This window comes from Homo sapiens, chromosome 8 (assembly GCF_000001405.40).
Source record: "Homo sapiens chromosome 8, GRCh38.p14 Primary Assembly".
NCBI classification, from domain to species: domain Eukaryota; kingdom Metazoa; phylum Chordata; class Mammalia; order Primates; family Hominidae; genus Homo; species Homo sapiens.
The window spans coordinates 51,523,926-51,544,259 of NC_000008.11; the positions used below are offsets into that span (position 1 = coordinate 51,523,926).

General features: G+C 43.1%; 1 protein-coding gene across 8 annotated transcripts in view, besides 1 other annotated feature; it reads right to left on the reverse strand.

The window, feature by feature from the left end:
* Positions 1-20,334, reverse strand: part of PXDNL (peroxidasin like) — a 489,869-nt gene that overhangs the window by 204,349 nt on the left and 265,186 nt on the right. The window contains exon 2 of one of the 8 annotated variants that reach the window (XM_011517458.3): positions 14,154-14,236. The exons of the other annotated variants lie outside the window; for them this stretch is intronic. The gene's annotated coding sequence lies outside the window, so the exon portion shown is untranslated. The remainder of the gene's footprint in view (positions 1-14,153; positions 14,237-20,334) is intronic. 8 annotated transcript variants of the gene reach the window in all.
* Positions 9,740-10,275: an enhancer, noted in NCBI's record as "H3K27ac hESC enhancer chr8:52446225-52446760 (GRCh37/hg19 assembly coordinates)". NCBI's record gives its function as "activates a minimal SCP1, AML or CMV promoter by ChIP-STARR-seq in naive H9 embryonic stem cells {active_cell/tissue: H9 hESC(naive)}" and the evidence as "EXISTENCE:reporter gene assay evidence [ECO:0000049][PMID:30033119]".

Sequence of the window (20,334 nt, forward strand, 5' to 3'; positions counted from 1 at the left end):
CATGATGTTTAAAGAGACCGATGGGGAAAAAAGTTAGAATCATGTCTCAACTGTGTCAAGATCAATCCCTTTAATAAATGCTTTAAGCATGTAACTGGGGCCTCTGCAGCAGGATCTGGGCACCCCACTGCCTGTGTGGCACCACCCATACGATGGGCTTGTCCACAGGGATTTGCCACCTCGGTTCCTCATGGCACCCAAGGGATTATGATGGAGTCATACCTGATATATGACCTAGTTTTAAATACAATCCTGTTATGACACATTGTTACATACGCTCCCTAACATGACATCTAGTTGTTTTCATCCTCTGAAAAGCTGTTTTCTTGTAATGAAAACAGATAACTTCAAAGCACATAATAGGTATACAATAAATAGTAGATCTTATTAAATTAAAGTTAAAATTAAAGTTCTTGCTGAGAAACATGTTGTAGAACTTGGAAATAAATTTTTATGGCTGGCATGTCATTGGCAATTGGCTTGGTAGCCTCCTTTTTCTCTAAAAGGGCAATACATTTAAACAGTTATAATAGCTTTCAAAAACCACTTCCTAAATCTCTTTTTCTAAGCTTTGTGAAATACCATCACAAATCTCAAAATTTAGGCAAATCTTTCCACCTAATATGGAGTGAAGCACAAAACATAAATGTATAAAATTCAGTTTTTATTTTAGATGTGAAACTTTTCTTATGATGCCACCATTAACTAAAAAAAAAGATTTCTATAAAATAAGTACTTCTCAATTAATTTTTTACTTATCTTTCAAAAGGTATCTTTTGAACAGTTTGAATGTGTCAGGAAAATGCATCTTTTACTTTTTGTGTGTGCCTAGTTACAGAATGGGAAATCATCAAATTCTCTTCTGTGGTCACTGTTCTACTGAAATAGAAACAGCACAATTTCAGAGGAAATTGCTCTTGGGAGTTTTCCAACCCAATACTGCAATCTTGAGATTTCTGGAATCTTTGAACAAGCTTAAGGTTAGAAATGCAAAAGTTCCAAACCAACCTAGAAAACACTAAAACTGTTGACTCATACACCCTCGCCTTGCTGGAACAGGGGTGTGTTGAACTCTTCCTGATGATGCGCCATCCCAGAAGACTGAGAACTAACAGGAAGGAAGAACAATTTTAAAGCAAACACTGCTTCTCCATTTTTAAAAATTGCTAGCTAAGTTTATGTGTCACCTTTATTTAAAAAAAAAAAATCTCTTTAAAATCTTCACACATCACTTTCCCCACAACAGGAAAAGTGCAGGAAAGCTCTGCAAAGCCTTATTTACTTTTCCTCTGACCCGCTCATGATTTCTAATGGCATTGTCATTTTTGTGAAGATTACATATTCTTTAAATGGGTAGATTTTATGGTATGTAAATTATAGCTGTTCAACAAAGCTGTTAAAATGATAAATGGGTTAAGAAAAATTCAAACGATACAGAAAAGTGCATTAACAAACCCTAAAAACCCAACTGTCCAGTAATTACCACGTGTAACATTTGTCACTGCCCCTCGGTCTGCTTCGCTCTCTATCTGTAATCACACACATTCAGAAACGTGTCTCCAACTTAATATAACATCTCTTTTCCCTCCTCCGTTTTGGTAAACAAAGTTCTAACATGGAGACAGAAGGAAAATCAAGTCCCAGTTAAAAGCATCAGCCTAGTCCAAAATGCTGGACAAAATAAAAAACATTCTAGTGTGGTGAGTCTGATGCTATAAATAAAAATAAAAATAAAAAACCCTAAAACCAGTGATCCTGGCTCAGGGAAGATTCTGGCAGCCTGTCTGTCCTCTTAGCAGAGCAACCCCTGAGCACTGAAGGAACCAGGGCATGTCCGTGGTCAGCGGTCGCGATGATGGCAAGCAGACAGCAGGACCAGGGGACAGCTCGTCACCCAGGAAATGTGCAGGCCAGAACTCCATGGTGAACCCTCCCACATATTTGCCCTAAAGACACAAACACTGGTTGAACGGAGTTGTGGCAAATAAGAAAGAGGAAAACCCAACCCAGAATACTGCGCTGTGTGTCAAATGGCATGCTCACTCATACGGTTCTTGTTAGGGGGAAATGCTGCTGAAACTGCAGAAATTTTTCCATCTGAAATTTTTTGCATGTATAGTTTTTTCCCCCTCACCGAAATGAAAATGTCACTGAAATGCCATCATTTTACTATAATCTGTCCTCAGAATGTTCCCAATGTGTGTGTGTCAATCACAGGAGTCCTGGATCATCCAGGACAGACAGGTGGACGCATTCTTGGTCTCTGCAGCTGGGCATGGGGCTGGCGAGGCAGGTATTGCGAGTTAACAGTGCCACCTTCAGGGCACAGACGGCATAACAGAGCATATCAGCAACAGAAACAGCTCTGTTTCAGAGTGAGAAATCTTCCCGTACCACTAAGTAGCTGATCTGTTTTTTTTTCTTTTTTTTTTAAATTTCATTTTGTGAGACAGCCTACGAGGTCAGTGCCAATGTTGATATTCAACATATGAAGCCAATAGTGTCTAAAGGTTATGTGACAGATGGTAGCTGAGGTTATACAGCCATCTAGAAGCGATGTGAGAAAAAATGTCCAGCAGTTAAGGAAAGTTTCCATTTGGGGTATAAAAGCTAAGGAGAGCTATTTTATCGTCTCTCCATCCAACCTCCTCCTGCCTCTGTATTTCTGTCACTAAATAATTGTTCTTCCTGTCACTGAAGCTCTGCATTCCCAGGCACACAACACATCCCTCTGATCGAATATGTTCTTTCCTAACATGTGATGTGATGTGAGGGGCATTTGGCATGGAGTGGGAATTTAAAGATGCTGTTGCTAATAATGACCAGGTCACCTCAGAGAGTGCCTGGACCACCATTACCTCTCTATCCTGATGACTTTCCATTTATTCTTCCAGGTCAGCCCTGCATCTCCTGCTGCCTACCAGACATCTCCACCTGGGTGTCCGGCAGGCACTTTCACATTGGCACAGCAATGCTTCCTCCGGCCAGCCCCCTCTGTGCTCCGCCCTGGGAATAACCATCATTCACCTGGTCAACCATGAGCCTCTCTTCACCCTCCTTCCCACTCAGCCATCTGCTTCTGTGGCTTCTACCTTCTTCATATACCTCTTTCCCTTCCCCACTGCAAGGGTCTTCAATTTGACTCATTTTTAAAAAGCTTTTATTTTCCTGCCTCTCAGTTTGGATGCATGCAGCCTATTTCTTGAAGAGTTGCCAGAATATCTTCCCAAAATGAAAGTCTGTCCTCCTGATCAGCCAGACACCTGAGCTTGCCATAGAAGACCCACAATGAGCTGGGACCTACCTACATGGGTTCTTGCCTTCACACACCCCCTTCCTACCTCCTGCGAGGATGTTGTTTCAGTTCCCTACCTGCCGTGTTTTCATGATTTAGCACGTTTGCTCCCTGCCACCTCATATTTCCATTTGCTTGATAGGCTCATTTTACCTGCCTTCTACCCTCAAATTCCAATCCACACCTGGTAAATATTCACTCCTCATTGTAGACCTCCACCAGAATGACAAGGAGAGCAAACAGGTTGTGGCATTTCATGGTTGCCAAACACTGTTCCAGCTGCTTTATATGAAGTATCCGATTTGTTCTACAACAACCCTGTGAGGTGAGTATTATTATCCACAGGAGATGTTATGGCCCAGGGCTCAGAACAGCTGTCTAAGTGGTATGACTTTTCTAAGTGTAAATACTTAAAGTGAGCTGCAGGCAGTAATGGTAGTGATTGCCAACACAGGTCTGGATCTCATAATCCTTATAACCTACATGTAGGAGAGAGAACCATCTGCAGGAGTGTGAAGGAAGGCTAGAGTTGCCATCATGAAATTGTGCAGAGGGTGCAACAGTGGGAATCCATGATGGAGAGACAGAGGTTACTTGTACTTAGCCTTGAAGAGAGAATCAGTCAGGGAAAATATGGAGAAAAGGAAGCTTGCTTGGAGGTTAGGAGTGTGGATCCGGGGCCCAGCTCCTGGGTTCCAGTCCTGGCTCCAACACTTACTGGCTGTTTGTGCTTGGCCAAGGAGTTTAACCTCAATGTGCCCCAGTTTCCTCATCTGTCTAATCTAGTAGTTTGTGTGTAAGATAATTTGGAAAAAGAAGAAACCAAAGGTATCAGAATTAATCAGAGGGCCATTGCAATATTACAACCAGGAGAGGATTCAAATATTAATAAAAATGGTCACTTGACTCATCCTTAAGTTATTTATACAATTACCATGAGACTGAAAACAACAGACCCCGCTTCTCCTGGCAGCTGAGAAGGTGACTCAGGGATGCAGAAAATCAAGAAACAAGTTCTACCAGCTAGTGTCATAAAGATGCAAATAATTTCACTTAAGGATATAACAAAAACTGAAGACAAAAAGTGTGTTCACCATAGTGCTATTTGCAAAATTTAAAAATGCGCAGATGCCCAATATATGTTTAAAATGTTTAAATGTTTAAAATGTTTTATATGAATTATAAATGTTTAAAATGAATTATAGCACATTCATATAGTTAATAAAATATACAGCCATTAAATTGTGTTACATGTTTAATGTTGTTATAGACAGCCCCTCAAAGATGTAAATGCCTTAATCTCCAAACCTGATTGTGTTACATTCCATGACAAAAGGGACTTTGCAGACGTGATTAAGATTAAGAGCTTTGAAATGAGAGATTATCTTGGATTATCTGGGTAGGTCCAATCTAATCACACCAGTTCTTAAAAGTGGAAAAGGGGGCAGAAGAGCCCATCAGGGAGATGTGGCAGAGGAAAAGGGCAGAGACTCAGATCATGGGAGGGACTCACTTTACTCTTGCTGGTTTTGAAGCTGGAAATGGGACTGCAGGCCCACGACTGCCAGCAACCTCTAGAAATTGGGTTTTTACAGCTTCCACAACCGCAAGAAACTGAATTCTGCCCACAACGCAAGTGAGTAGGAAGCGAATTATCCCCTAAAGCATCCAGAAAGGAGCACACCCATGCTGACACTTAGATTTAGCCAGGCAAGACCCACATGGAAATTCTGACCCATGGAAATGTAAAACAACTAATTTGTATTGTTTAAGATGCTATGGTTGTGGTGATTTGTTATGGGAACGAATATAGTTACAAATCTGTATATTGTTATACAGTTATAAACATTATGGACGATGTCAGGTTTTTTAAAAAGCCCAGCATCAGCACTACATAGATACTTTAACGTCAATCACATCCCAGTTGTATATACACAAGCAAGATGAAAAAGAAGTACACAAAAATATTTGTCAGAGTTTGGGGATTATGGGCATTTTCATTTCCTCTGGATATGTTACCCATCGTCACTCCCTCTTATCCCTTCTCCCACTCACTGTCTTTCTGGATGCTAATCCAACTGGGCTTCTGCCTCCATGTTTGCACCTGGAGCAATAGTAATGGGTAACTAGTTTGCAAAGTCAAATGCTGCTTCCACCATCATCTTACTTGACTTATCAACAGCATTGCCCACAGGTTATTACTCCTGAAGACCTAAAAGTATTGCTTGTTGGGCTCTGGGAAGCCTCCCCTAGGACCTTGTAATTTCATTTGCCTTTTCTAAGTCTCTTTTGCTGTTTCATTCTTACCTCTCGATCTCCAGATGTCTGGGTGAATTGGGATTCAAACATTAAATCTCTTTCTTCCACTGGGTACACTCTCCCTAACCCATCTCATCCATCCTTTGAATTTAAATTGTATCCACACAATGATGACTCCCAAATATTGATCTCCCAAGAAGACTTCTACTGTGAACTCCAGATGCACACAGCCAGCTACCTGCCCCTAAACATCTGATAGCCACCTGCAGCCTAACCTGTCCAACCTGAGTTCCCAGTCTCTCCCCACAACCACACCCCTTCCATTCTTCCACATCTTGGTACACGAAAACTCTTCTTCTAGGCCAGGCACTATGGATGTTTGTGAGGGGCTGTCCCATGCTTGGTAAGAAGTGTAGCAGCATCCCTGGCCTCTACTTACAAGATGCCTATAGCAATCCCCCTTCCCCAGCTGTACAACCAAAAATGCATCAGCATTGTTAAATGATCCCTAGGGAGGCAACTTCCTCAACTCTCCTGTGAGGAAGCACTCATCTAGGCCAAGAGCTTTGGAGTTCTTGTGGATATAGGTTGAAGATAAAGCAGATAGACTATCAGATGATCAAGGGGAGATGTGGGGTTGGCAGCTGGGTGTGTGCATCTGGAGTTCATGGCAGAGGTCTAGTTGGGAGACCAATATTTGAGAGTCATCATTGTATGGATACAATTTAAATTCAAAAGATGGATGAGATGGATTAGGGAGAGTATACCTAGCGGCAAAAAGGGATCTAGCGAGTGATTTCTAAGTTCTTCTCTTCTCCTTTTTGCTCACCTTATAAATCCATTTGTTCATGACATCTGTCTTCCTTACCTTCAACCTAAATCCACAGTAGAAACAGTTCTCCGCTGCTCCTCCAGGTCCCTGGCCTCTAGTCTTCCTCCTTCTCTCTTCTAAATAGATCAAAGCAGCCAGAATGATCCTTTCAAACATAAATCAGATCTGTCATTGCTCAGCTGGAAATCCCCAGTATATTTCTCCTGCTCAAAGTAGAGCCAACGTTGCTGCCATGACCACCCGGACTGCCCACTGCTGCTCAGGTGTCTCTGCGGCTCTCCACTCACCCCAGTACAGCACATCTGCCCAACCAGCTCCCTGCTTTTCCTTAAACACACAGTGCCTAGTTAGCTCCGACCTGTGGCCTCTGCGCTCACACTCTGCGTGTAGTGCTCTGTTCCTGAGGCTCCTTCGCTCCCTCCAGGCCTCAGTCCTGCTGTGAGGGCTTCCCTACACCCTATTTAACACCACATCCCACCCTTGCACCATTTCCCAGTAGCTACAACTCTCTTTCTGCTGCTGCACATATTAATGTGTTCCTTTATTTCTCTCTCCTTCCTAAAAAGGAAGAACCCTGAGGCCAGTACTTTGTTTTTTATTCACTGATTGATTTCCAGTGCCTAGAAAGAAAATGCCTAGCACAAAATAGATGCTCAGTAAATATTTTGAATGTGCACAAGAATAAATGAGTGAGTAAATGAATGAATTGTAAACACAAGAAAGTCCAAATACGGAAAGTTACTGTCTGTGACTTTTAAACTTTAAAGCAGTCTGTGAGCCTCTCATCTGACACTAACAGGAAGAGGGCAGCTAAAACTTCCAGGTCTACAGGCAGAAAAATCTCCCCAACAAATGCCCCCAAAAGTGTGTCAGCTAAAGCTGTCTAGAGCTACCAAATTGCTTAACCAAGGAATTGATTCCAGTGGAAGGAGTTATAATTTTGCCCATCAGGATGTGCCATGCATTGTAGACCAGTGATGACTGTGTCCTTCAAAATCTCCATGTTCTCTAACGAGTCTTTGCTTGCTTGCTTGGCTCTTATTAAACCTGTTCTATTCCTCCCTCCGCCCCACTGCCCACAGCATATACTGAAGCCGGGGAGTGGATAACCTGTCCGCCAGCCATCAGCCCCTGAGGGCCACATCTGGAGCAGCTGTGGAGAATGGCATGGTGCAGAGATCTCAGGCCCTCAGCTGCTGGCCTGAATGAGATGGGCTCAGGCCGGTCCCCAGGGAGAAGGTAGGTGCATTCTATAGCAAGTAAGGCATGAACACAGAGCTCTGTTGGGTCAGCAGAGAGATGGAGCATGAGACACTGTGAGATGGGCTTTTTGCTGCTGTGTTGTATGTAAACCCTAACTTATACAGATCTATGGGCAAGAAGGAGCTTAAGTCAAGTGAAGAAGATAGGGATGAGATGTGAGGAATGGTGGAGAGAATCTGAAAAGTCTTGGAGGTGATAGAAGAGGGAAGGCATTCAAAGAAAGGATGTGGATTGTCATCACACACCACAGTAGACAACACACAAGTTCAAGTATAGAAACAGGATTTGGCCATTGCCAAACTCCAATCATAAAGTAATGGTGAAGTGCTCCCCCCACCGTCATCATCCACATTCAGTTGCAGACATCCCAAGAAGCAAGAACACTCCCCAAACACGGTTTAATGTATACCTTCTCTTGACTAAATTTTGCTACAACAGCTTGCAAATCGTTGTGATGGCTTCTTGTGTAGATCAAGATTATAAATTGAGGTTGCGGGTCTGGTCTGTCTACGGTGCAGAATGCAGGTAAGTATGACTAATGCAAGGCATGCTTCTCTTAAGCTGGCTTAGTAATAGCCTTCGCATTAGAGGCACTGACACTAGAAACAACTTTTATACTTACCACTTGAGAATCAGTGGCCAGAATTAAGAAAAAAAAGAGATTGCTAAAACAGCAAAGCCTGTTATTTTTCACAGTATTATATAGTGATATTCTCATGAAGACCCAGAACTCAAAAGCAAAAGACTTCAGTTTGCATTTGGCAGTACCGTTCACCAACTGTGCAACAATGTGTGAGTGGGTGAAACTCTCTGAGACTCTGCTGCTTCTACAACCTTTCTGACAGCAATGGTTACCTCACAGTTACTACAGCATTAATGCCACAATGTGTACAAAAACACTGCTAACAAGGATGCCTGACACCAGTGTGTGATGTTATTACTATTATTGCTATTTCAGTAGAACTGAGAGTAGCATCTCTGAGTTTGTTTGTTTGTTTGTTTGTTTGCTTTTTGGTTTTTAACTTCTCCTTTGGTAAGTCATTGGTGCAGGTTCAATTGAAAAGATGTAAGCAGAATGTAAAGGCTTCAGACAGCTTGCTAATTCAAAGTGTGGTCTCTTTGACAAAGTCTCCCCAACGAGATATTAGCCATAGTCTTCTGGTGCTGTCTCTTCTATTTTCTCCTTTCACTACCCTGGAACATGGATGCAGAGCAGCCTTCACTAAAGATATTAAAACAAATGATAGAATAAGCTTTGTTCTCAGATGTAATCATTGAGGTACCATACTAACTCCCAAATGCCTATACCCAAACATCTTGTTGAATTAAATAAATGAACCGCTTTTTTGATTAAGCCACAACTCTGGCTTAATGTGAAATTGAATGCAATTCTAATTGAATCAAGTAGGAAAAAAAGGAAAAGAAAAAAAAGTGTGGCCTCCTGACAGCCACAGCAGCAACTCCAGAAGCTGATTCAAGAAGCAGAAACATGGCCCCATACTACAACTTCTGAATCAGAATCTTCTTTTAAAAAATATCACCAAGTATTCATATGCTGTTTATTTATTTATATTTATTTACTTTTTTATTTTTTGAGGCAGAGTCTTGCCCTGTCACCCAGGCTGGAGCACAGTGGCGCAATCTCAGCTCACTGCAACCTCTGCCTCCTGGGTTCAAGTGATTCTCCTGCCTTAGCCTCCAGAGTAGCTAGGATCACAGGCATGCACCACCACGCCTGGCTAATTTTTGTATTTTTAGTAGACACAGGGTTTCACCATGTTGGCCAGGCTGGTCTTGAACTCCTGACCTCAGGTGATCCACCTGCTTCGGCCTCCCAAAATGTTGGGATTACAGTCATGAGCCACTGTGCCCAGCCTCATACACTGTTTAAAGTTTGAGAAGACCTCTCCCTCCCCCTCCCCCTCCCCCTCCCTCTCCCTCTCCCTCCACGGTCTCCCTCTGATGCCGAGCCAAAGCTGGACGGTACTGCTGCCATCTCGGCTCACTGCAACCTCCCTGCCTGATTCTCCTGCCTCAGCCTGCCGAGTGCCTGCGGACGCCGCCACGCCTGACTGGTTTTCGTTTTTTTTTTGGTGGAGACGGGGTTTTGCTGTGTTGGCCGGGCTGGTCTCCAGCTCCTAACCGCGAGTGATCCGCCAGCCTCGGCCTCCCGAGGTGCCGGGATTGCAGACGGAGTCTCGTTCACTCAGTGCTCAATGGTGCCCAGGCTGGAGTGCAGTGGCGTGATCTCGGCTCGCTACAACCTCCACCTCCCAGCCGCCTGCCTTGGCCCCCTAAAGTGCCAAGATTGCAGCCTCTGCCCAGCCGCCACCCCGTCTGGGAAGTGAGGAGCGTCTCTGCCTGGCCCCCCATCGTCTGGGATACGAGGAGCCTCTCTGCCTGGCTGCCCAGTCTGGAAAGTGAGGAGCGTCTCTGCCCGGCCGCCATCCCATCTAGGAAGCGAGGAGCGCCTCTTCCCCGCCGCCATCCCATCTAGGAAGTGAGGCGTGTCTCTGCCCGGCCGCCCATGTCTGAGATGTGGGGAGCACCTCTGCCCCGCCGCCCTGTCTGGGATGTGAGGAGCGCCTCTGCTGGGCCACAACCCTGTCTGGGAGGTGAGGAGCGTCTCTGCCCGGCCGCCCCGTCTGAGAAGTAAGGAAACCCTCCGCCTGGCAACCGCCCCGTCTGAGAAGTGAGGAGCCCCTCCGTCCGGCAGCCACCCCGTCTGGGAAGTGAGGAGCGTCTACGCCCGGCAGCCACCCCGTCCGGGAGGGAGGTGGGGGGGGGTCAGCCCCCGCCAGGCCAGCCGCCCAGTCCGGGAGGTGAGGGGCGCCTCTGCCCGGCCGCCCCTACTGGGAAGTGAGGAGCCCCTCTGCCCGGCCAGCCGCCCCGTCCGGGAGGGAGGTGGGGGGGTCAGCCCCCCGCCCGGCCAGCCGCCCAGTCCGGGAGGAGGTGGGGGGATCAGCCCCCACCGGCCAGCCGCCCCGTCCAGGAGGGAGGTGGGGGGGTCAGCCCGCCCGGCCAGCCGCCCCGTCCAGGAGGGAGGTGGGGGGATCAGCCCCCACTGGCCAGCCGCCCCGTCCGGGAGGTGAGGGGCGCCTCTGCCCGGCCGCCCCTACTGGGAAGTGAGGACCCCTCTGCCCGGCCAGCCGCCCCGTCCGGGAGGGAGGTGGGGGGGTCAGCCCCCCGCCCGGCCAGCCGCCCCGTCCGGGAGGGAGGTGGGGGGGTCAGCCCCCCGCCCGGCCAGCCGCCCCGTCCGGGAGGGAGGTGGGGGGATCAGCCCCCCGCCTGGCCAGCCGCCCCGTCCGGGAGGTGAGGGGCGCCTCTGCCCGGCCGCCCCTAGGAAGTGAGGACCCCTCTGCCCGGCCAGCCGCCCCGTCCGGGAGGGAGGTGGGGGGGTCAGCCCCCCGCCCGGCCAGCCGCCCTATCCAGGAGGTGAGGGGCACCTCTGCCCGGCCGCCCCTACTGGGAAGTGAGGAGCCCCTCTGCCTGGCCAGCCGCCCCGTCCGGGAGGGTGGTGGGGGGGTCAGCCCCCCGCCCGGCCAGCCGCCCCATCCGGGAGGTGAGGGGCGCTTCTGCCCGGCCGCCCCTACTGGGAAGTGAGGAGCCTCTCTGCCCGGCCAGGACCCCGTCTGGGAGGTGTGCCCAGCGGCTCATTGGGGATGGGCCATGATGACAATGGCGGTTTTGTGGAATAGAAAGGCGGGAAGGGTGGGGAAAAAATTGAGAAATCGGATGGTTGCCGGGTCTGTGTGGATAGAAGTAGACATGGGAGACTTTTCATTTTGTTCTGTACTAAGAAAAATTCTTCTGCCTTGGGATCCTGTTGATCTGTGACCTTATCCCCAACCCTGTGCTCTCTGAAACATGTGCTGTGTCCACTCAGGGTTAAATGGATTAAGGGCGGTGCAAGATGTGCTTTGTTAAACAGATGCTTGAAGGCAGCATGCTCGTTAAGAGTCATCACCACTCCCTAATCTTAAGTACCCAGGGACACAAACACTGCGGAAGGCCGCAGGGTCCTCTGCCTAGGAAAACCAGAGACCTTTGTTCACTTGTTTATCTGCTGACCTTCCCTCCACTATTGTCCTATGACCCTGCCAAATCCCCCTCTGCGAGAAACACCCAAGAATGATCAATAAAAAAATAAATAAATAAATAAATAAAAATAAAGTTTGAGAAGAACTGGTATGGACTTCTCTTTTCTTCTTTCTTTTTCTCCTTTCTCCCATCTTTCCTCTCTTATTTTCCTTAAAAAGAAAAGAATATTCCTTAGTCCTTATAGAATCTCACAAGACAGGTATAGTGGAGATTTGCTCTTGCCCCCCTCCCTGCATTCGCTCTCTTTTACTGTGACTACAGTTCTTACCACGTTTCCAGCTTCTGTGATCTGTGTAAAGCTGACCCCAGCCCTGGACTTGGGGGATGGAACAAGTGATTAAGTTCAGTGCAACCAGAGCATGTGGACCCCTGGCCATGGTGATCGGGCCAGCAACAGGCACCTGACCATCCCAGTCAGTCCACTCAGGGCTACACCCTCTCGGGACCTGAAATTTTCCTGGATATTTGAGTACCAAGTTCTATCTTAATGAACAAGAATGGGGATAAAACGAGGAGGCTAGAGCCGAAGCAACCTTTTTATACAGTTATAGAGCTTGAGAATAAAGCTGACACCAAGGACACAGGAACTGGAAATGGAGAGAAAAAAACCTTGTACTAAGTCTGCATCTAGACTATGAGGCCTTGTTTTTTTCTTAAGCAAGTTGAGGTTGAGTTCTCTATCACTTACAGTGTAATGTATGCTTAATTATATACACAAAGGGAAGAAAAAGAACAGTAGCTAAACGGGAATGTTGGCTCAAGAATGGGCTTTCTTGGTAAGAAAAACTTGAGCCTAGGCTGAAATGAAAAAGGTAATGAAGGCGTGGAGGGGAAAAGCAAAAGAGAATGGGGAGGGCCCAGAGAGTGAGCATGACACCATCCAGGGAACAGGCACGACAGTGCCCAGGACAGGGTGGCACCGAGTTTTTTCAATATCCCAAGTCTTTCAGTTTTTTTTTTTTTTAAATGCATTTATTCTTTAAGCTTTTGGATTCTTCTTTCTTCGTAATATATCACAAATTTCATTCAATTTTCAAAGGTTTATGCTTGGCAAACATGAATATTTGCTGCAACACTAAATGGAACTGAAGAGGTCTGGTCCCCAACAGTTTTCACACAATTACATAAAAAATGAATGTCTGAGAAAGTGATTTTTGCAACAAACGTGCTCTGAGGTGCAGAAAAGTAAGTTAAGAAGATGACATTTTCACGACTTCTATTTCTTAGGTACCTGAACTCAATGTTTATAAAAATCCATTTAAAGCCCAAACCTAACGTGCTTATTGGCTGGTGCCTGGCACAGCTTTTATGCCAGATAAAGGCAGACTTTAGATAATGGGGCTTATAAAATACTGGTGATGATTGTTAGGCAAGGTTTGTAGACAGAAAAGCAAACATAAATCCCAGATAAGACTCGGATAGTATCTCTAGGACATGTAATACCTTTAAGGTAGAGATAATGATTCCTAACCCTGACCACACATTAGAGTCTCTTGGGGAACTTTGAAAAAAACCACTGATGCCAGCACCCTCCTCCTGAGATTCTGATTCACCGTGAATGTGGGCAGGCAGTGCCCAGGTGATTCTAACATGCTGCAGGCTGGACACCCTCTGGCTGGGGACACTACTGAGCACCATGATAAGACAAAAGTTTTCACTAATCTCCACCTATCCTCTTAAAACATGACTTAGAAAAGGAAACTTAATCAGAAACTCAGACATATAAATTGGCAGCAATTGCTTACATAGTCACTTCAAAACATATTCAGACCTATAAATTTTATTCTCCCCTCTAGCCATTTTAAAAACTGCACTGCTTGAAGCTGGACATGAGTCCCCTAACTCCCTGTGATCCCAGTCAGTCACAAGTACCTGTGAGCAAGCAAAGAGCAACAGGGGGGAAGAGGGACGTTCAGTTCCACCCCCTCCACTGACCTATTTCTCAGTGTGAGTGTCTGGGCCTTTTCCTTGGAAACCTTGAAGAGCCCCCAAAGGATATCAGAGAACTTCTCTGTTTTTAACATGTGCTTCCTATTGAAGAACAAACTTGGGCATTTTCAAAGTAAGTTATGCTCTTTACATCATACGGGTTTTATCTAGAATTGCACAGAAGAGGGAAAGGTCTTCAAACCCTATTTTTTTCATGCGGTGCCCAAAAAAGAGGTTTTACCAGTGTTAGACTCATGAGAAGGAATATCAATGAGGAATCAGAATGGAATAGATCGGAAAAGCCACACCACTTCCAGCTAGCATGACATGCAGCCAATCCTGCCCCAGAAAAGGATGCTCTCACAACTTAACAATAGAGAATATTGTATTACTATTTTCTCATCAAATGTATCTCAAACTTGTTACAAAGAATTGCATAATGCAGAATAGAGCTATTCCTAGAGAGGTACTTACAAATAGACGTTTACTGATGTGCAGGGAATACGGTGAAATTGCAATGCCCAAAACTGCTCTCCAGCCCTCGTATCCCTGAGGTTCTGTGAAAGAGACACCAGTGATTCTACCCAAGATACACAGGATGCTGTTTCCAGCCAAACATGCACTTTGATTTTTCCAAACAATTTAGATAACTAAAATTTTTGCTCTGGTATAATTCTACCAGAAAATAACACGTTTCATTTGTCTGTACATTTATAGTGTGTTTGGTGATAGAAATTCCAACAAACTGATCCATAGATTCAATATAGTTTCAATCAGAATTCAGAGGGCTTTTTTTTTTCAGACTGAGGGGATGATTAGAAATAGACAATCTAATTCTAAAATACATCTGAGAATGTGAACAATTTTTAAAAATAAATCGGCCGGGTGCAGTGGCTCACGCCTGTAATCCCAGCACTTTGGGAGGCTGAGGCGGGTGGATCACCTGAGGTCAAGAGTTTGAGACCAGGCTGGCCAACATGATGAAACCTCGTCTCTACTAAAAATACAAAAAATTAGGCGAGTCTGGTGGTGGGCGTCTGTAATCCCAGCTACTCAGGAGGCTGAGGCAGGAGAATCACTTGAATCTGGGAAGCGGAGGTTGCATGAGCCGAGATCGTGCCAGTACACTACAGTCTGGGCAACAAGAGCGAAACTCTATCTCAAATAAATAAATAAATTAATTAATTAATCAAAGTTGGAGACACTTTACTGTCTGATTTTAAGACTTGCTATAAACCACTAAACAAAAATAAGGGGAAAATCATGCAATTATGTGGTGAATAATAATAATGTATTTGTCTTTGCTTTTTGTTTTATGTTTTTTGTTTCTTCCTTCCCAATCTGAATTCCTTCCATTTATTTTCCTTTCCTTATTAGAATCATTAGAATCTCCAATAAAATACTGAGTTGAAATCGTGTAAGCAGACATCTTTTCCTTGTTCTTCACCTTAAGAGTTATTCAGTCTTTCACCACTGAGTATGAAATTCACCAAGGGTCTTTCCTAGATGTCTTTTACCAGGTTAAGGAAGTTCTCATTTGTTCTTAATTTGATAGAGGTTTTCTGTCATGAATGGACATTAAATTTTTCCATATGCTTTTTCTGCATATATTGAGATGTTTTTATTATTTTTATTTTTTAATCTGTTAATATAATAAATTACATTTTTGTTTTTCGAATGATAAACTAACTTGCATTCCTAAAATTAAACTTACTTATGCATGATATATTTTTATCTTTTTCTTATATTGCTGAACTCAATTTTCTAATATTTGGTTAAGGGATTTTGCTTTATTTTAATGAGAAATATAGTTATGTTGAAGGTTTTTCTTATGTCTGTGATTTTGGTGTCATAAAATAATTCTAACTCATAAAATGAGTTGAGAATTATCCCACTGTAAGAATTTGTACAGAATTGAATTTGTTTGTTTCTTAAATATTTGTTAGAATTTAACAGTGAAGACATTTGGGTGTAGAGTTTTGTTTTGTTTTGTTTTTTTAATTGGAAAAGCTTTAACTTCAAATATGATTTCTTTAAAAGATTTAGTTATGCAGTTTATCCTCTCTTCTTGAGTTAACTTTATAAGTTGTATTTTTCACAAATATTTTCATTTCATTAAGTTGTCAAATTTACTAATATAAAACTCTTCAGGATGCTTCCTCTTTATCCATTTAATATGCATATTATCTGTAATGAGATGCCTCCCTTCTTGATATTATGTATCTTCTTCCTTTTTTATGGTAGTTCAGCTTGAGGTCTATCAATATTATTACTCTTCTCAGCTATAATTTGTTCTATTGACTTCTCTCTATTGTTGTTCAGTTATCTACTACCTTTTTTTTTTTTTAGACAGAGTCTCACTCTGTCAATCAGGCTGGAGTGCAGTGGCTCAATCTCAACCTCCGCCTCTCAGGTCTTCTGAGTACTGGGACTACAGGTGCACACCACCATGACATCTAAATTTTGTATTTTTAGTAGAGATGGGATTTCTCCATGTTGGCCAGGCTGGTCTCGAACTCCTGGCCTCAAGTGATCCATACACCTCAGCCTCCCAAAGTGCTGGGGTTACTGGTGTGAGCCACTGAGTCTGGACCAGTTATCTCTCTGGTTTCTCTCTCTATGGTTTAACTCTTATCTCTATTGTTTCCTTTCTTTTGCTTACTTTGAATACAATTCTCCATTTTTTGTCCTGATTCTTAAGGTAGAAGATTGCATCACTGATTTAGGTCTTTATTAATTCCAAATATCACCATTTAATTTTATAAGTTTCTATCTAACTTCTACTTTCGCTTTAGATATATCCCCAAAATTTCTGAATATTGAGTTTTCGTTCTTATTCTGTTTGAGATATTTAACTTTCCTTATAATGTCTTCTTTGACACATTGATTACTTAATAGGTCTAAATATTTGAGAATTTTTATGACATCTACTATTGTGTTCTAGTTTAATCCTGTTTTGATAGGAAAATATATTTTATATGACTTAAATCCTTTAAAATTTATTGAGCTTTATTATGTAATCCACAATATAATCTATCTCGGGGAATGATACTTATGTGGTTGAAAAAGTTGTGTATTCTTCTGGCTTTGGGTGTAGTGCTCTATTAATATCAGTTAGGTCAAGTTGGTTGATTTTGTTATTCAGGTCTTCTTTATACTTACTTTCTGTTTACTTGTTCTATCAGTTACTAAAAGAGGAGCGTGGAATTTGTTTATTTCTTTTTTCAGTTGTATCACATTTTGGCACCTTGTATTTTGTAACTCTTGTATGATGTGCTTGCCTGGTAATTTTTGACTGGATGATGGAAACTGTGATTTTTAGTTTCTTGGGTGCAGATGTTGTTATTTTTTTTTTCAAGAATATTGGACTTTCAGCTGGTTGCAGTGGCTTATGCCTATAATCCCAGCACTTTGGGGGACCAAGGCATGTGGATCACAAGGTCAATAGATCGAGACCAGCCTGACCAACATGGTGAAATCTCGTCTCTACTAAAAATACAAAAATTAGCTGGGCGTGGTGGCATGTGCCTATAGTCCCAGCTACTCAGGAGGCTGAGGCAGGAGAATCACTTGAACCCGGGAGGCAGAGGTTGCAGTGAGCCAAGATGGCACCGCTGCACTCCGGCCTGGCGACAGAGTGAGACTCCATAAAAAAAAAAAAAAAAAGAATATTGGACTTTCTGCCACACAGTTACATTTCTTGGGATCGGTTTGATCCTTTCAGGTTTACTTTTGTGCTTTATAAAGCAAGCCCAGAATGATCTTCATAATAGGGCTCATATAGCCTTTCCACTAAGGTGACACCTTTCTGAGGGCTCCATCCAATGCTATGCAGCAAGGTCTTTCCACACTAGCTGGTAGTAACACAAAGTATTCCCCACCCTGAGTGATTTCTGGGAAGTTTTTGGCCCAGGAATTTTTACTGGTTCTTTTCTAGCCACAAGTAGTTTCCTCCGACACGTGCAGATCATTGTCCGGCCAAAGATTTTAGGGGAAGCCTCTGCAGGTCTCTAGGGCTCTCTGTGTAGCTCCCTGCTCACTGGTCTCCTACACCACTAATTTTCACACTAGGCTTCCTGAGCCCCAGTCTCTGTATCCTCAACTTAGCAAGCCTGCTGGTCTCTGGTTGGGAACCCTTCTCTGTACTTCAGCATGGAAACCACCTCTGGAAAACACCAGAGAAAACTCACAGAGATCACCCCGTGTGTCCCTTCCCTCATGGACCACAGCCCCTTGCAGCCTGCTCTCCAGTTCTCCAACACTGCCGTTTCATGTTTTCTCATTTTCTACGAGTTTTTTTAAGCAGAATATTAATCTGGTCTCTCCTATTCCATCATGGTTAAAAGCAGAAACTTGTCTCTGTTTTATAATTCAGTGAAAACTCTCCCAGATATTATATATCAAAGGTGCTTTTTGTACTAATAAGTTGCTAGTCATCATGATGGAAAAAAATTACAGTAAATAAAGTCTTTTGTAAAGAACACTTACCACCACAATAGTCTACGTTTTATTCTGAATTTCAGGCTTTAATTTATTTTGAGAAAGGGGGAAAAAAAGGAGTATCCTCAACATTTAAAAACTGGTTTCACACTCAAGGGCAGTCCATGATATTCTCCTATTAAATATTATCTAACAGAACACAACCTCAGACAAGGTTACCCTGAGACCATGATAAAATGGGCCAAAGCAATCCTACTTTATAATTTTGTCTCAGCATAGACAAAAGCAAGTTTATTGAATATTATGGACTGAATGTTTATGTTCCATACAATTCATATGTTGAAATCTTAACCCCAAATATAATAGTATTTGGAGATAGGGCCTTTGAGAGGTAATAGAATTAGATTAGATCACGAGGGTAGGGTCCTTGTGATGGAATTAATGCCCTTATAAAAAAAAAAAAAAAGAGAGAGAGAGAAGTCGACCAGGTGCTGTGGCTCATTTCTGTAATCTCAGCAATTTTGGAGGCCGAAGCAGATGAATCACATGAGGTCAGCAGTTTGAGACCAGCCGGACCAATATGGTGAAACTCTGTCTCTACTAAAAAATACAAAAGTTAGGCTGGGATGGTGGGAGGCGCCTGTAATCCCAGCTACTCAGGAGGCTGAGGCAGGAGAATCACTTGAACCCAGAAGGCAGAGGTTGCAGTAAGCCAAGATTGCACCATTGCACTCCAGCCCAGGTGACAAAGCGAGACTCCATCTCAAAAAAAAAAAAGAAAGAAAGAAAATGAGACACTCTTTTACAATAAACTAGACAGATCAACAAAGGCCAAAAGAATTAAGTTAGTGATACGTTATATCACTGGCTAAAGTTAATTATGTATTTTAAAATACACCATTTAAAGTTAGCTCTGTCAGAAAGTAATTGCTGAAATAATAATAACAAAATAATTAATATGGTAACAAAGAAAATAGGTATTATTATTTCAGAATCTGCTCTTACCAAATGTTTCATACATTACCTCTAGATTTCAGAGCCAGCCTGTCAAATCACTGTAATTATTCTCATTTTATAAACAATACCAAGAAACTCTAAGATTTAGAATTTTAAAGTGGAATTCTCAAGATCAAAGAGCTAAGTGCCAAACTTTCACTCAGTTCAAACTCAGGTCTGTTTGATTTCCAAGACTTTATGCCCGGTGATACTACTCTGCCTCTTTCCATAAATTTAGTAGATGATGAGATAAAAAGTTTATATTTAATACATGATGCAATATGTAGCAGTTTTATACAGGTGTAGAAGCTTCCTGTTGTCTAAAAAAGGTACTCTAGTAAAATATCCCACTTAGAAATAAGTAAACAGGTAAAGAAAAGAAGAGGTAATAAATATAAGGCTATATACTGAAGAGGAAATGTAAGTTAAAAAACAATGACTATGGGCGGATCACAAGGTCAGGAGATTGAGACAATCCTGGCTAACATGGTGAAACCCCTTCTCTACTAAAAATACAAAAAATTTGCCGGGCATGGTGGTGTGCACCTGTAATCCCAGATACTTGGGAGGCTGAGGGAGAAGAATCACTTGAATCTGGGAGGTGGAGGTCACAGTGAGTCGAGATCACGCCATTGCACTCCAGCCTGGTGACAGAGCGAGACTCCATATCAAAAAAAAAAAAAAAAAAAAAGAAAGAAAGAAATAATGACCAGTCAAAGTGGATTATAACACTTCTAGTTCAAGGGTCATATGAGGAACATGGCTAGAAGATACAATTTTTACAAAAGAGATATTTGCTGCCCACTAAGGAGGCAAGAAAAAAGAAAAATTTATTGGCAAGGATAATCAATAAAAATATGAAAATATGTCAGCTCTATCAGTGAAATAAAGGCAGAAATTGTAGATGAGGAATAACTGAAAGCAGGATGATTGATTAACATCAGCATTATTAAACAGTGCTTTCTAAGAACATACCAATTACTCTTGTTCTGAAAAGTGGAGTGATTAAAGAGTCCTCTGTGCCATTTGTAGAGCAGAAACATCCAGCTAACAGGATGTGTATGTAAAAGGAGAAAATAATACCTAATCAAAAGGTCTTTACCTTTGGTAAAAGTTCATTATATCCTCTCAAGTCTGATCATTTTAAAGTATGATATGCTTTATGCAACTGAGCATGAACTTTTCTGAACAAAATCTGGGGTGGAGGGTGAACATGAAG